The sequence below is a fragment of the Homo sapiens genome, chromosome 15 (genome assembly GCF_000001405.40).
Source record: "Homo sapiens chromosome 15, GRCh38.p14 Primary Assembly".
NCBI lineage: Eukaryota > Metazoa > Chordata > Mammalia > Primates > Hominidae > Homo > Homo sapiens.
Genome location: NC_000015.10, coordinates 80,508,369 through 80,525,126, shown reverse-complemented (window position 1 = coordinate 80,525,126; position 16,758 = coordinate 80,508,369). Strand labels below are relative to the sequence as shown.

Genomic DNA, 16,758 nt, shown 5'->3' with positions numbered 1-16,758 from the left:
ATGACATTTTCTTTTATTATTAAAGTCATGCAAAAATTTGGAAAATACAGAAATGAATAGAAAAGAAAAAGTAGCCAACAATCTACTATACAGAGATAACAGTGATTACTATTCTCCGTATCATTTTTCAACGCATAGATACACTTGATTCACTTATAATTTAAAAATAAAATTGGGATCATGAAGTGCATGTTTTATAGACTGTTTTTCTTTTTAATACTTCTTAGCACTTTGTTCTTTTTTTTTTTTTTTGAGACAGAGTCTGGCTCTGTCGCCCAGGCTGGAGTGCAATGGCGCAATCTCTGCTCACTGCAAGCTCTGCCTCCCAGGTTCATGCCATTCTCCTGCCTCAGCCTCCCGAGTAGCTGGGACTACAGGCGCCCGCCACCACGCCCAGCTAATTTTTGTATTTTTAATAGAGACAGGGTTTCACCATGTTGGCCAGGATGGTCTCGATCTGCTGACCTCATGAATCGCCCGCCTCGGCCTCCCAAAGTGCTAGGATTACAGGTGTGAGCCACTGCGCCCGGCCAGCACTTTGTTCTTACATAGCCTCTAAAAGCATGCCTGTTTAATTATTGTCCAGTATTTTATCATGTAGATGTCCCATGCTATTTTTAACCAATTCTTTACCATTGAAATGTAGATTAATATGAGGTTTTCACAATTATTATTAATGCTTCAACACACATGCACACATCTCTGATTAATTCCTTGAAATAAGTTCCTAAAAGCATAATTTCTGTATCTCAAGAGGTGCACATTTTAAGATATTTAATACACACTGCCAGGTTATTCTACAAAAGGTTTGTACTAACCTATTTTTTCACCAGCAGTACATAAAGTGTCCATTTTTTTTAACTTTACCAACATTGTGTATTTTGTCTTTTCTATTTTTTACCTTTTGATAGGTAAGAGATGGTAACAAATTGTTTTACTTTGCAGTTCTGATTAATAGTGAGGCTAACTTTTTCCATATGTTTAGTGTCTCTGTATACACATTTTTTAGCACCCTGTTCATTGCCTTTGCTCATTTCTCCCTATTAAGTTAAACTCTGCCTTCTGGTAACTTTCCCTTTTTCATCCAAATTGTGCCTTCTGGAACTATCCTAAGGAGATTAATTCCTCCTTCATATGACACCCCCTCAAATACTTGAAGACAGAAATCATGTCTCACTTTCTCCAAGATAAACACCCCTGGCTCCTTCAATCATTTCTCATGCGGCAAAGTTTCAAGGGCCATCGTTGCAGACTTAATGCATAATAGTCCCACTGCTCTGTTACCCTGTACACTCACACTCACAGTCACAGACCTGCATGCAACTTCAGAAAAGCTTATCCTGAATCCTCTTTGCAGACTCTCTGGATGCAGTCACCTGTCCGCACCTTGGGCCTCAGCCTCCTTTCTCACTCCCATCCATAAGGACACTAAAAGTGAGTCTTTCCATGATCAAGGCATTTACCATGTGATATCAGGGGGCTGGAGCTCAAATAAAGTGGTAAGAAGAAGATCACTTTGAGACTAGAAGCAGGAAGAGAAATTTGCCTGGTATAATTAGAATGATTAACTCAAGTGAAGAAAGCATCAAGAAGAATGAGATGGTCACCTTGGAATGGCACAGAATTTGTCAGTACCAATCCTGCAGTATTATGGGCTTCCTCCAGGAACCCTGTCCTAACCCCAGGCAGGTTAGGGACCCTTCCTCTGCCCCCACAAGGCTGCCTGCCCTGACCACACTCCCCATAGTCACCTGTGCATGCACTGATCTCCCCACCAATCTGTGCAATCCCTGAAGGATGGGTCTGTGTTTGTACCCCTGAAAGCCTGGCTCAACAACTGCCACCCCTGGAGCCAGCACACATGCTCGGTGAACTGGGCCACTCTCGGAAATCTCCCTTCCAGTGGTCCACATCCCTTTACTCTTAATTTCCTCTCAGCAAACAAACTTCTAATACAAATGTGGTTTCTCAACTACTCAAAACTGATGGGTTCATGAGACATTGGACATGAGCATCCATGCCAGGGACAAGGAGCCCCATGACATTACTGAATTGCACCTGGTTAAAACATTCACTTATGAGAACTCTTTCACACTCCCTGGCTCTGAGAAATTCTAGAACACTGTCAAGACTTTCTGGATCTATAAAGCTGAGGTCCAGGCTCTGAACACTGGGAAGGCATTGCTTCTTAGGATCGCCATCCTTGAGTCCAGCTGGAGGCCTTTGGCAAACAATATCCTGACATTTCTGTGCATTATGGTCTAAGTAGAAAAAAATTTTTTAATGTGTGTATATATATATATATACACACACACACACACACACACATATGTAAATATCAAACAGATATATATATATATATATATGTGTATGTACAGTCACACAGTCATTATGCAGTTGTTTTTGGTAAACAACAGACTGCATATATGACAGTGGTCCCATAAGATTACAATACCATATTTTTATTACACCTTTTCTATGTTTAGATATACAAATACTCACCATTGTGTTACAACTGCTAAAATATTCAGTACAATAACATGCTGTACAGATTTGTAGCCTAGGAGCAACAGGCTATCCCACATAGCCTAGGTGTGTAGTAGGCTATACCACCTACGTCTGTTTAAGTGCACGCCATGATGTTCACACAACGATTAAATTGCCTAATGACACATTTCTCAGGATGTATTCTCATTATTAAGTGATGCAAGACTGTATATGTATACATATGTATGTATATGCTGATTAAGGGCACAAACTTAAGAATCAAGCTAGCTGGGTCCACATTCTGGCTCCATTATGTATGCACTAGCTGTATGAGTTTAGGCAGGTTATAGCTCTGTGCCTCAGTTTGCTTGTTTATCACATAAAAATGATAGCACCCTTTCCATGCAGCTGTTGTGACGATTAAATGAGTTAATGTAGCTAAAACATTTATAATTACATCTGACCCATAGTAAGCCTTCAGTAAGTATTTATTATTATTATTATTTACATTTAAGAACTGCATTAAGGTGCTTACTATATTTGTGAATATAGAAAACTCATTCTTTTTACGTTTTAAACAGTATCTAAAAATTATTTTGCTTTCAAATCATCCATATTGTTCATGGAAGGCCTCATATACAAGGTCAGAGGTACAGTCTACTAGAAGACAGCAAGGCTTCACTGTCTATTGACAGAGCATGGTAATGAGCAAAGGAATGTACGTGACAGGTGTATGAGTTGGTCAGAGATAGGACTTGGATCATTATCCTAATACTAGAGATTCAATTTGTTACTACCAGAATCCATTATTAACATAACCCATTACCCAGCGGAGGCAATGATATATATTAAGTTTAAGCTAGTTTTTCTTAGAATTCATGATTTTTTCATTTGCTTGCCAATTACCAACATTCTACGAAACGTTTTATTTACTCCAAGCATGAAGATGGCATTGGCGTTTCTTCAAATGTATTATTTTGCCATATGCTTTGTGTTCTTGTGTATTAAAGTATTTATTTATATGGACTGCAATGACATGTAGAATTTAATAAAAATTTACATTTTGCAGCTTGATTTGTAACAATTATTATTGCTATAGCTGCTTTCTCCTTATGTACCTTTTATAAATTGATGCAAATTTATTCAATATCATGATTTATTTGTGTAGTCATGAAATACACTATCGGTATTTGCTTTTATTTTACAAAAATATATAGTTGATACATTTTTACCAGTAAATTTGTTGGATTTTTGTGGCCAGGATATTTTGTGTACCACAATTTTTTATAGTCTGATTTTTAATTTTTTATGCTTTAACTCTTCTCCTGTTTAGAAAAAAAAAGTGTAACTTGCTGCCAGCACTCATTTAATTTTACATAAACACGCTCTTGGAGTCTGAAGCAAATATGACTGATTTTCAATGTGAAAATAAAATATAAAATCTGTTCTTTGAGTTACTTCTAAACAGAAGTAACATCAGAATCATCTGAATCATCAGAATTGTCTATCTCAGTAAAATCAGATTTATCAAATAAATCTTTGGCCAACAACTGTTCAAGAACAATGTTAACATCGTGTCTAGGAATGTTACATTTTCTAGGATTTGTATTTTCAGCAATTGAGAATTACTATATTTTGTAAATGGAAATATCACTACTAAGCACAGACTGCTATAAATAGAATGTCTTTTGTTTCCAAAGTCAATATACTAGAGCAATGTGACAATAATAAAAGCAAGATACTTTGTGGCAAAGTTATCTTGGGGTAAACTCTGCAGCCACAAGTGCTACCGGCAAGTATTCTCAGGGCAAATGGGAAAAGGGTTAAACATAGACAAAAATAGAAAATGTAACAAACACCCACGTATCCAAACACAGATTTTTTTCCCTAGCTTTATTGAAATATGGTCAGTATATGAAAAACTGTACCTAATTAACATATCCAATTTGGTAAGTTTGGACATATGTATACACTCACGTTATCATCTCCACAATCAAGGTAGTAAACATACCATGACCTCCAAAAGTTTCCTTTTGTATGTCTGTTGGTATTTTTTTATTTTTATTTATTTATTTTTTTTTGTGGTAAGAACACAACATGAGATCTACACTCTTAAATGTCTAGGTGCACAGTATTTTATTGTTAACCATAAGCACTATATTGTACAGCAAATCTCTGTAATTTACTCGTCTTGCTTAACTACCTTCTTCAATACACAGATTTAAAACATGTTAACATTCTGCCACATTTACTTCATGTTATCTTTATATTAGAGAAATAAAAAATATCCAGTGTAATTGGAGGGCTTCCTGATACCATTCTGCTTCCTTTCTCCCCAGAGGTAAACAGAGGTTTACGACTTTAATAACCGTGTGTACACTGATGACTCTTGAGTCTACATCTTCAGCATGAACTATCTAAGGTACTGTATATTTGATTATGCATCTTGTTTATTGTCCATTTTTATCTTCAGAATACAGAATTGTGTCTATTTTGCGCATGTGAAAGGAAGATAAATCTCAGGAACTCTAACTCACTAATCCAAAGGGAAAAGTCAAACTGGGAACTGGGTCATGCAAACCTGCCTTCCATTTGGTTCCTAAATAAGATAGGTACAAAGATTTAAAAAAAAAAAAAAAAGCGGCCAGGCACGGTGGCTCACACCTGTAATCCCAGCACTTTGGGAGGCCAAAGCGGGCGGAGCATGAGGTCAGGAGATCAAGACCATCCTGGCTAACATGGTGAAACCCCATCTCTAGTAAAAAAAAAAAAAAAAAAATACAAAAAATTAGCCGGGCATGGTGGCAGGTGCCTGTAGTCCCAGTTACTCGGAGGCTGAGGCAGGAGAATGGCGTGAACCCAGGAGGCAGAGCTTGCAGTGACCAGAGATTGCGCCACTGCACTCCAGCCTGGATGACAGAGCAAGACTCCATCTCAAAAAAAAAAAAAAAAAAAGCTACATACCTCCCCACAATTTGTTCATAAGGAAATTCCTTGTAGGCCCCAAATCTTTACCCTAAAACAGTTCTGGTGAATTTCACCCTGGCAATGAAAATTGACAGCTTATCTTCACAGGTGTGAGACAAAGGACAGAACTCAAAGACATCCTTCTGCTCACCTGACACAAAAGCATATCTGATTGCTTCCTCTGCTCTACTGTTTATGTTATCTGGCTTGTCACTGAGCCAGATGAAGGCAAAAGTGACTATTTACCGCAGCCCCCTGCCCCCACCAATTGTATATTCAGTGAAAGGCTGATCAAAGACTCAAAAGGATGCAACTATTTGTCTCTTATCTACCTGCACCTTTTAAAAATGTATTCCTCTTCCCCCCATATCCACCCTTTTCCCTTTAAATATCGAAGCCCTCAAAATCATCTTTGGAGAAAGGCATATACGTATCTCCCAGGCACATTTCCTCAACTTTGGCAAATAAATCTCCTAAAATGATTGAGACTTGCCGTGGTCATTTTCACTGATTTACATGCACTATAATATCTACAGTGCCTGGAACAATGCCTCGCACATACATTGTAGGTGGTCAACAAATACGTGTTGAATGAATGAATGAAACAATATTTTTAACTTTACTATATGAATGTATTATTAATGTGTTTTAAAATGTACAAAAATGGGCCCCCACACTTTCATGGGTTTTCCCTCCAGGAACCCACCAGGTTCTCACAGTGAAAAACCAAGAAAAATCACCCCCCCAATCTCTGGTAGGGGGAGATAAAAAGTAACCATTTTGAAATATGTCCAGAGCATTCTCCATAACAAAGACCTACTCTCTAAGAGAAAAGACTTTACCAGAACCTTATCTCACCTACGGAAAAGAGGAGTTACTCAATTCCAGCCCAACTCTATCCTTCCCATATGGCCTAAGGGGAGGGAGAGACAAGAAACACTTGTGAAGGTCACAGCCCCAGGACATAGGCCCATGAGGTTTAATCATAAGATTACAGAACAATTTCTCTCCCCCAACTCCTCATCCCACATCAACAGGGCTCAAATAGCTGCAAGGCATACTCTATTTAAGACTATTTAAGAAAAAGCTCTTTGAGCCAGGAGCCATGGTTCCTGCCTATAATCCCAGCATTTTGGGAGGCTAAGGCAGGAGGATCACCAGGTCAGGAGATTGAGACCACCATGGCCAACATGGTGAAACCCCACCTCTACTAAAAATACAAAAATTAGCTGGCTGTGGTGGTGCACACCTGTAGTCCCAGCTACTTCGGAGGCTGAGACAGGAGAATTGCTTGAACCTGGGAGGCAGAGGTTGCAGTGAGCTGAGATTGCACCACTGCACTCCAGCCTGGTGACAGTGCGAGACTCCATCTCAAAAAAAAAAAAAAAAAAAAAAGAATAGAAAAAGAAAAAGTTCTTCGGAAAACCAAAGGTAGTAGGAGAGAAAAACAAGAACATGAAAGGAATTTATAGCCTCTGGAACCTATAGCTACAATATTTAAAACATTAAACACAGCCCAACTCCTAGGAACATTAATATAAAACCCCACACCAAAGGCCTAGTTACCTCAGTTCCTATTATCTGATACAACATGTCTGGATTTCAACAAAGAATTACAAGGCATACTAACAAGCTAGAAAAAAAACATAGTTTGAAGAGACAAAGTGAGCACTGGAACCAGACTCAGGTGTGAAACACATTATGAAATCACAAAATATTTAAAATAATTGTGATTAATAACTTATAAACTCTCATGGAAAACGTAGACAATATGCAAGAACAGATGGATAATAAAAAGCAGAGAGATGGAAACTCTAAGAAAGAATAAAAAAGAAATGCTCAAATTAAAAAACACTGTGATGGAAATGAAGAAGGCCTTTGGTAGACTCATCAGTAAACTGAAAACAGTCAAGGAGAGTTTTGATAGACTCATCAGTAGGCTGAACACAGCCAAGGAAAGTATCAGTGAACTTGAAGATATATCAATTTGAAACTTCCCAAACTGAAATGCAAAGAGAAAAAAAGAATGAAAAAAAAAAAAAACCAGAACACTCAAAAATTGTGGTACAATTTCAAAAGATATATCTGTGTAATTGGAATACAAAAGAGAAGAAAGAGAAAATGGAGCAGAAGAGATATTTTTTAAATGATGTCTGAAAAATGTCCAAAGTTAATGAGAGACATCAAACCACAGATCCAGGAGCCTCAGAGAATACCAAGCAGTATTACAAACAAACAAACCCCTCTATATTTAGGCATGTTATATTCAAACTGAAGGAGACCAAACATAAAGAGACACTCTTAAAAGAAGCTAGAAAAAATAATCCCACACTACCTATAGAAGAACAAGGATGAGAATTATGTGGACTTCTCTTCAGAAACCATGTTAACAAGAAGAGAATGAAGTGAAATATTTAAAGCACTGAAACAAAGTAGCTGCCAACCTATATTTCCATATCTCATAATTTCAATCCTTCAAATGTGAAGGAGAAATAAACATTTTCTACAAAAAACCAAAAACAGAATTCATCACCAGTAATGCTGCCCTGTAAGAAATACTAAAATAAGTTCCTTGGAAGAAGAGCATCAGAGAAGGAATAAATAAAGATATAATAAAACATTTTATTTTAAATTGATCTAATAGATAACTGTTTGTTCAAAGCAATAACAGTAACAATGTATTGGGTGATGATAGCATTCACATAAGTGACATGAATGAGAGCAATAGTATAAGAAATGAAAAGACAGAAGAAGGAAGATTTTATTATAAGGTGCCTGCACTATACATGAAGTGGCATAATATTTTTTGAACATGGATATATATATATATATATATATATATATTTGTAATTGTATATAATAATTGTAAATGTATGTTGCAAACTTAGGGCAAAGAATAAAAATATTTTTAAAGAAACTTAAAAAAGGCAAAAAAAGAGGCAAAGAAACAAAGAATGAGTGCAATGAATAGAAAACATGGTAGCTATCAATCAAACTATATCAATAATCATGTTAAATGTAACTGGTCTAAATGTATCAGTTAAAAGATTATGGGAGTGGATTAAAAAACTAGATCCAACTATATGTTGTTTACAAGAAACCAACTTTAAATATAAAGGCACAGTTAAGTTGTAAGTAAAAGGATAGAGAAAGATATACCATGCTAACAGTAATTAAAAGAAAGTTGAAGAAACTCTATTAATTTCATACAAAGCAGAATTCAGAGCAAGGAAAATTATCAGGGATAAAAAGGAACACTTTTCTTTGAAAATATAACAATCCCTAACATATGTGCACCAAACAACACAGCATCAAAATACGTGACGCAAAAAAAGACCTACAAGGAGAAACAGGAAAATCCACTCTTATAATTGGAGATTTCAACATTTCTCCTTCAGTAATTGCTACATTGAGCAGGCAAAAAAGTCAATAAAAACATAGTTGCCCTCAACAGCACTATCAATCATCTTGATCAAATTGACATTTAAAGAATACTTTATCTGGCTGGGTGCGGTGGCTCACGCCTGTCATCCCAGCACTTTGGGAGGCCGAGGCAGGTGGATCACCTGAGGTCAGGAGTTCAAGACCAGCCTGGCCAACATGGTGAAACCCCATCTCTACTAAAAATACAAAAAATTAGCTGGGTGTGGTGGTGGGAGGCTGTAATCCCAGCTACTCAGGAGGCTGAGGCAGGAGAATCGCTTGAACCCGGGAGGTGGAGGTTGCAGTGAGCCCTGATCATGCCTTTGCACTCCAGCCTGGGTAATGAGTGAAACTCCGTCTCAAAAAAAAAAAAAAAAAAGAATACTTCATCCAACAACAGCAGTATACACATTGTTCTCAAGCTGACATGAAATAGTTACTGAGATATATATACTACATTCTGGGCCATAAAGTGAACAAAAAATTGTTTAACATTGTATTTTTTTTTTTTTTTGGTTTAGGAACAAATTTATTGATATATAATTCACATCAGTGGTTTTTAATATAGTTACATAGCAGTGCAACTATTACCACTATGTAATTTTAGAACACCTCTGTCACCCCCAAAAGAAACACTGTATCCATTAGCAGTCATTCCTCATTCTTCCCTGCAGTACCAAGAAACCACAAATCTACTTTCTGTCTTCATGAATTTGCCTATTCTGGACATTTTACATAAATGAAATCATATAATATGTGGCCTTTTGTGTCTGACTCTGTTCACTTAGCATGACATTTTTAAGATTTGTCCATAATATAGCATGTATCAATACTTCATTGCTTTTTATTCCTGAATAATATTCCATTACAAGAATATACCACATTTTATTTATCTATTCATCACTTGGTGTACATTTGAGTTGTTTCCATTTTTTGGCCATTATGAATGATGTTGCTATGAACATTTTCAATTCTCTTGGTTGTATATTTAGGAGTGAAAATTGCTGAATTATATGGTAACTCTGTTTTTAATATTTTCAGGAACTGCCAAACTGTTTTCCCAAGTGGCTATGCTATTTTATATTCCCACCAGCAATGTATGAGGATTCCAGTTGCTCCACATTCTCATCAACATTTGTTGTTACCTGTCTTTTAACCATCTTAGTGAGAATACGATGTATCTCAGTGTGGCTTTTATTTGCATTTCTGTAATGATTTAGATACACTCATCATTTCAAATTGCCACTCTGACTTTATAGAATGCTCTGGGTGACAGAACCTAGAAACAAGTTGCTAAGACTCCAATCACCTTTGTACAATTAGTTGTGGGTTTTTTTGTTTTTTGTTTGTTTGTTTGTTTTTTTGAGATGGGGTCTTGCTGTGTTGCCCAGGCTGGAATACAGTGGCGAAATCTTGGCTCACTGCAACCTCTGCCTCCTGGGTTCAAGCGACTCTCCTGCCTCAGCCTCCGAAGTAGCTGGGACGACAGGCGCCCGCCACCACGCCCAGCTAATTTTTTGTATTTTTAGTAGACACAGGATTTCACTGTGTTAGCCAGGGTGGTCTCCATCTCCTGATCTCGTGATCCACCCGCCTTGGCCCCCCAAAGTGCTGGGATTACAGGCGTGAGCCACTGCGTCTGGTTGCACAATTAGCTCTTTACAGAAACCTTTGTTTCAAGTAGCAGGATGTTTTCCAATTACAAAGATCATTGTGTTCTAACCACAAAGAAAAATAAGAATATTTTCCTACCTATTCCTATGAGAATACTTCTCTAACAGGACACCATGGTCAGGTATGAGCAGCACCCAGTTCCCGTGGAATTTACATGCAGGTCTCCTTACCTGCTGGTGGCCAGGCCTTGATGTATCCTGTACAGTGGACCACAGCATATTGGGCTTCTCCTTCTTTCACAGGGCCAAGGCCATTCCTAAAAAAGAACATTTGTGAAATTGTTTTCATCACATGAGGGTGAGGCAAGGATGTTGATGACTCCTCTGGCATCTAAGCTACTGGGTTCCCTTGTCTGCCTTTGTGGTTTTGAATCTTGACTCCTCACCATCCTGTGTTCCTTCCTCCCACATGGTCTGAAAATCAAAAATAAATTCCACCCAACTCCCTGTTCTCTCTCATCTCTGCCACTGCCACCCTGATGTCTGGTTCTCTTGGTCCTCACCACACTAAGCCCCTTCTTTAATCTAGGCTGCTTAGCTTAGGGTGTTTAGACTATCTACCAGAACAGTCCCAAAATATACATCGGAAGAGATACTGACCTGAACCTTTTCCTCATGGTGGTTATTCTGTTTAGAGGAAGGTGGTCCAAAGGAGCATTTCCACACCTAAGATGTGACAAGTGTATTAGAATGAGCAAAGACCCAGGCAAGTTTATTCAATATATGGTGCTGCCATCAAGTAGATGAGCCTTAATTGATGCTTACACATTTATTCAGGTGACGCCTATAGCCAATTTTCTTCAAAAGTGCAGAAGCAGACCTGCATGCCTTTGATTTTTTTTTTTTTTTTTTTTTGTGACTGAAGAAAGGAGAGTGTGACCCACATTACAACACACACTGAAATTGTTTCAGGGCCCAGTCCAGGAGCTGGAGACCTACAGAAAGACTCTAGGAGAGACCTGGCCATGCTCAGTCCTGCAGATCATTTCAGTGGAACTCCATGGCTTTTAGGAAAGAAGGGAAGAGGGTGATGACAGCAATAATGTCCCTTCAGGCCTGAGCAGTGACATCAACTTAAAACAGATGTTGCCAGTTAATGAACAGTAACATCTTCTCAGGCTTTAGCATCACAGCTGTGGAAACTCTCTCCTCCCATACACTGTTCTAGCACTAGGGACAACCAGACAGCTGGAAGTCTGCTGATGGCAGAGGAGAGCGTGGGGATGAGAGATAAACAGGTAGAGAATCCGGTCTTTCTGTGAGTCCCCATCTGGGAGGCAGGGGATGGTGGCATCACACTGTACACTCTGGGACAACCTTTCCTGCCTCCCTTTACAATGATCCTCTCAGCATCTCAGGTGCTGAACACCCAAAGCCTGCACCATGGCCAGGCTCTGACTGCTGCTTGGTATATCCATTTTTTATGTGCATTTCCATTTCCCAACTACATCACAAATGATATCCTGAATATCTTAATTTTCAATACAGCAGGGATAAGAGTCTAGTTATACTCTGAGACCTTAGACAGCTGCCAGCACTAGTGTGGTCTTCACAGGAGGCTCACCCCATGTCATTGCTGCCCAGCAATGTTTGGCCCTCTGCCCTTTTCTGGCTGACTGTGCCCAGTGCTTTACTGAAAATAGCTGTTTCATTTGGAGGAAAATGTTATGTTCTCAGTAGATGGCAGCACTGCCCACCTCTCAGGTAAACACAGGCAGTATGGACCTGGCACTTCAAAGAGCAACCAATATCACGCTCCCTGGAAGGACACTAGGGCAGGGAAGGGACTGCATGAATTTCATTGACGGGGCAGTGATAATGGCTTTATGGGCTAATGGAAATGATATACTATGGCACTTTCAATCAATTTATTCATAAGGGAATTGCTTAGATGGTACCATTAAGATTTGTATTGCTGGTGCTCTACTCAATGTCTACTAAGCTAGGATAGGCATTTATTCACAGAAGCACTGCAGGACAAACATGCCGTGACTGACTACACTAACTGATGGCATTTCATCTCTGGATGCACAGCAATGCAAGTGGATCCCACTGCCCAGCTTGCCCCTGCTGCTGAAAGAGGGGCAGGCAGTCTGTGGGGACCCAGTCCTAAGTTAAATGGAGACATGCGTGCTTTCTGTCATTCCAGCACCATCCTGTGACCTGAGGCAGGTGGTGAAGAGGATTTCATCTGTGCCTTCAAGAATTCCAGAGGCTCAGCCTCGAGAGGAGGAGACTCAGAGAAAAGAACAGCGAGGCTCAAATCCCTGAAGGGCCATTTCTCGTAAAACAGAACAAATGGTCTCTGCCAGTTCTCAGAGCCCAAGGAGTGGGTGAGAGAAGCAGGTCTCCCCTCAGCACAGGCAACCTTGGTGATCTGAGGGAGACCAACCAGCCTGTACATAAACAGGTTTTGCTTAAAAAGTGTAGTTGCTTTAAAAGATTACTTTAAATTAGGGAAAATAGATACTTATTTTAAAGCACCTATTGTTTGGAAATTCATAGTACGCAACGGACGCCCCAGTGCAAGTCACAGATCCTGTGGCACGCAATTAGGTGAGGGTGACATTAGTAAGTGGTTCCATTGTGCTGCTACGTGCCGTATATCCTACATGCCATATCTCCTGCTGGTTCTCTCTCTGAGGTCCAGTGATGGACATTCAGGGCTCACATTCAGGGCTCATCAGTAGCCTTTGGCCTTTGATAACTCCTTTTTTCCAGAAACTTCCTTCGCCCTCTCTTGTTCCCTTTGCCCTCTCTTCTTCCCCTCCCACCTGCCTCTCTGCTCCTTCTCAGTCTCCTTTGCTGGTTCTTCCCCAACCCCCTGAGGCAGGAAAGCCCCAGGACTCAGTCCTCTGTCTTCTCCTCTGTCTATACCCACCTCCCACGAGATTTCACATGCATCTCAGTTTTGAGGCCTTAGATACCATTTTATTGATGTCAATCCCCAGGTCCATATCTTCAGCCCCAACCTGTTCCTTGGATTCCAGAACTACATGTCCAACTGTCTGCTCATCTTCTCCGTCTAGGTGTCTGTGGGCATCTTTTTTTTTTTAGTTTTTAAGTTCAAGTGCAGGTTTGTTATACAGGTAAACTCGTGTCATGGGCTTTGTTGTACAGATTATTTCATCATCCAGGTATTAAGCCTAGTACCCATTAGTTATTTTTCCTGATGTTCTTCCTCCTCCCACCCTCCACCCTCTGAAAGTCCCCAGCGTGTGTTGTTCTGCTCCATGTGTCCCTGAGTTTTCATCATTAGCTCTCACTTGTAAGTGAGAATATGCGGTATTTGGTTTTTCATTCCTGTGTTAATTCGCTAACAATAATGACTTCCAGGTGCATCCACATCCATGCAAAGGACATGATCTTTTTCTTTTTTATGACTGTATAGTATTCCATGGTGTATACGTACCACATTTTCTTTATCCAGTCTATCACTGATGGCCATTTAGGTTGATTCCATGTCTTTGCTATTGTGAATAGTGCTGCAATAAACATATGCATGCATATGTCTTTATAACAGAATGATTTATAGTTCTTTGGGTATATACCCAGGAATGGGATTGCTGGGTCAAATGGTACTTCTCTTTTTAGGTCTTTGAGGAATCACCACACTGTCTTCCACAATGGCTGAACTAATTTACATTCCCACCAATACTGTGTAAGTATTCCTTTTTCTCCACAACCTCACCAGCATCTGTTATTTTTTGACTTTTTAAATTTTTATTATTTATTTATTTATTTATTTTTGAGATGGAGTCTTGCTCTGTTGCCAGGCTGGAGTGCGTGGCATGATCTCGGCTCACTGCAACTTCCATCTCCCAGGTTCAAGCAATTCTCCTGCCTCAGCCTCCCGAGTAGCAGGGACTACAAGCACGCGTCACCACACCCAGCTAATTTTTCTATTTTTAGTAGAGACGGGGTTTCACCATGTTGGCCAGGATAGTCTTGATCTCTTGACCTCGTGATCTGCCCGCCTTGGCCTCCCAAAATGCTGGGATTACAGGCATGAGCCACCTCACCCGGCCCTTTTTGACTTTTTAATAAGAGCCATTCTGACTGGTGTGAGATGGTGTCTCATTTTGATTTTGATTTGCATTTCTGTAATAATCAGTGATATTGAGCTTTTTTTTTATATATGATTGTTGGCCGCATGTATGTCTTCTTCTGAAAAGTGTCTGCTCACGTCCTTTGCCCACTTTTTTATGGCGTTGCTTGTTTTTTTATTGTAAATTTGTTTAAGTTTCTTATAGACAGGCATCTTAACCTTAAAATGCTGGAATTCCCCTCAACCCCAAACCAGCTCCCCCCAACAACCTTTTCCATCTTAGAGAATGACAACTCAGTTTTTCCGACTGAGTGGGCAAAGACTTTAGCGGAACCTTTGACTTCTCTCTTTTCCTCACACCCTGCCTGAAGGCTGGCTCCGTCTGTGAAATACACTCAAAATCTGAGCACTTTCTACCACAATCACATTTCTCACCTGAATCATTGCAATAACCTCCTTACTTCTACCCTTCTTCTTTGTCCACAGGTTTACTCTCCACAGAAAACCGGGGCAGTTTTTAGTAATGTTATTCAGAACATGTAACTCTCACAGTCAACTTCAGGGACCTCTCATCTCATGCAGAGTAAAAGCTGAAGCGATGTAAAGTCAACACGACCTAACATCCACTACCTCTCAACCACATCTCTGCCCATTCCTCCTGCACCGTACCCCATTCACTCTGCTTCTGAGACAAGGACCTTCTCACTGTTCCTTGAACATGCCAAGACCATCCCTGCCTCCAGGCCTTTGCACTTGCTATTCCCTCTACTTGCCCTTCTCTTTGCCCAGACATTCCCTTGTTTCATTCACTCACTTTCTTTAGGTCTCTGCTCAAAAGTCACCTTATCAGTGATGTCTTCCCCTCCCACCCTATATAACATGGAAATTAACGAAATCTGCTATTTCCTACTCCCACTTAAGTTTGCTTTATGTTTCCTCCATAGCACTCACCACCATCTGATGTTCCATATATTTACTTGGTACTTTTGTCTACTTTGTATCACCCCTACTAAAATGAATTCTATGCAGGCAGGGGTTTTGTTTGCTTTATTATTATTATTATTATTATTTTAGTCTCTTTTTTTTTGAGACAGAGATTCACTCTGTTACCCAGGCTGGGGTGCAGTGGCGCGATCTCAGCTCTCTGCAACCTCCGCCTCCTGGGTTCAAGCGATCATCTCACCTCAGCCTCCTGAGTAGCTGGGATTACAGGTGTGTGCCACCACATCCAGATAATTTTTGTATTTTTAATAAAGACAGGGTTTCACCATTTTGGCCAGGCTGGTCTCAAACCCCTGACCTCAGGTGATCTGCCCACCTCAGCCTCCCAAAGTGCTGGGATTACAGGCATGAGCCACCACACCCGGCCTTGTTTGCTTTACTTAACATTGACTCCCGGGCACCTTGAAGAGCACGTGGCACAGGTAGGCCCTTAACATAAATGTGTTGAATAACTAAATAAATGAATGATGAGTGGCATCACCTCACATCACTGCCTCATGAACTCCACAGCCCAAACAATCTCAATTCTCTGTCCTGCACCTCCCACCTTGCAGTTCATGTCAACCATCCCTCAGGGGGCACAGGGTTGAAGGTACAGAGGTGCTGAACTGGACTGGAGGATTCAAGATCCCAGCTCTCTCTTCTTCAACGACATGGCAAAATTCCCCTGCTTTCTCCAAAGTTCATTCATTCCTGCATTTCTTCAATTATGATGTACAAATCAAATATATGTAGAAGACTCTGCTAGATGTCAGGGAGGCTCAGAGAAGTCTCAATCAAAGCCTTCATCCTCAAGGCACTATAATTTACTCATGGAACCCAGACATTTACATTTAACATATCAATCAACAATATCATAGAGACCAAGTAAATGTGTGAATTGTGACAGGAAATATATGAATAAGTGTGAAATCAGGCATCTTAATATAAAACATGTTGAGAACTACAGAATCTTGGAGAGGTTGGATTGGAGAAGGGTCTTAAAGATGGGTAGGAAGTAGAGTGATACAGTGGACAAGAGGGTGTAAATCTAGGAATGAGAAGAAAATGGTAGGAAATTAGACAAAGTGGGATGGTAGGAGGATAGAGAGAATCCTTCCTAAACCAAGGATCCTGTATATCTGCATGCTGAGGTCAAGAAGACGAAGTCCCTGGAGT

The 16,758-nt window shown here is 39.9% G+C and overlaps 1 protein-coding gene across 1 annotated transcript in view; it reads right to left on the bottom strand.

The window, feature by feature from the left end:
* The window catches only part of ARNT2 (aryl hydrocarbon receptor nuclear translocator 2), a 193,552-nt gene that overhangs the window by 72,807 nt on the left and 103,987 nt on the right, over window positions 1-16,758 (bottom strand). The window contains exons 7-8 of the mRNA NM_014862.4: window positions 11,151-11,216; window positions 10,722-10,807 (exon numbers count right to left, since the gene is read on the bottom strand). Of these exons, the coding sequence (NP_055677.3) occupies window positions 10,722-10,807; window positions 11,151-11,216 (152 nt within the window). The remainder of the gene's footprint in view (window positions 1-10,721; window positions 10,808-11,150; window positions 11,217-16,758) is intronic.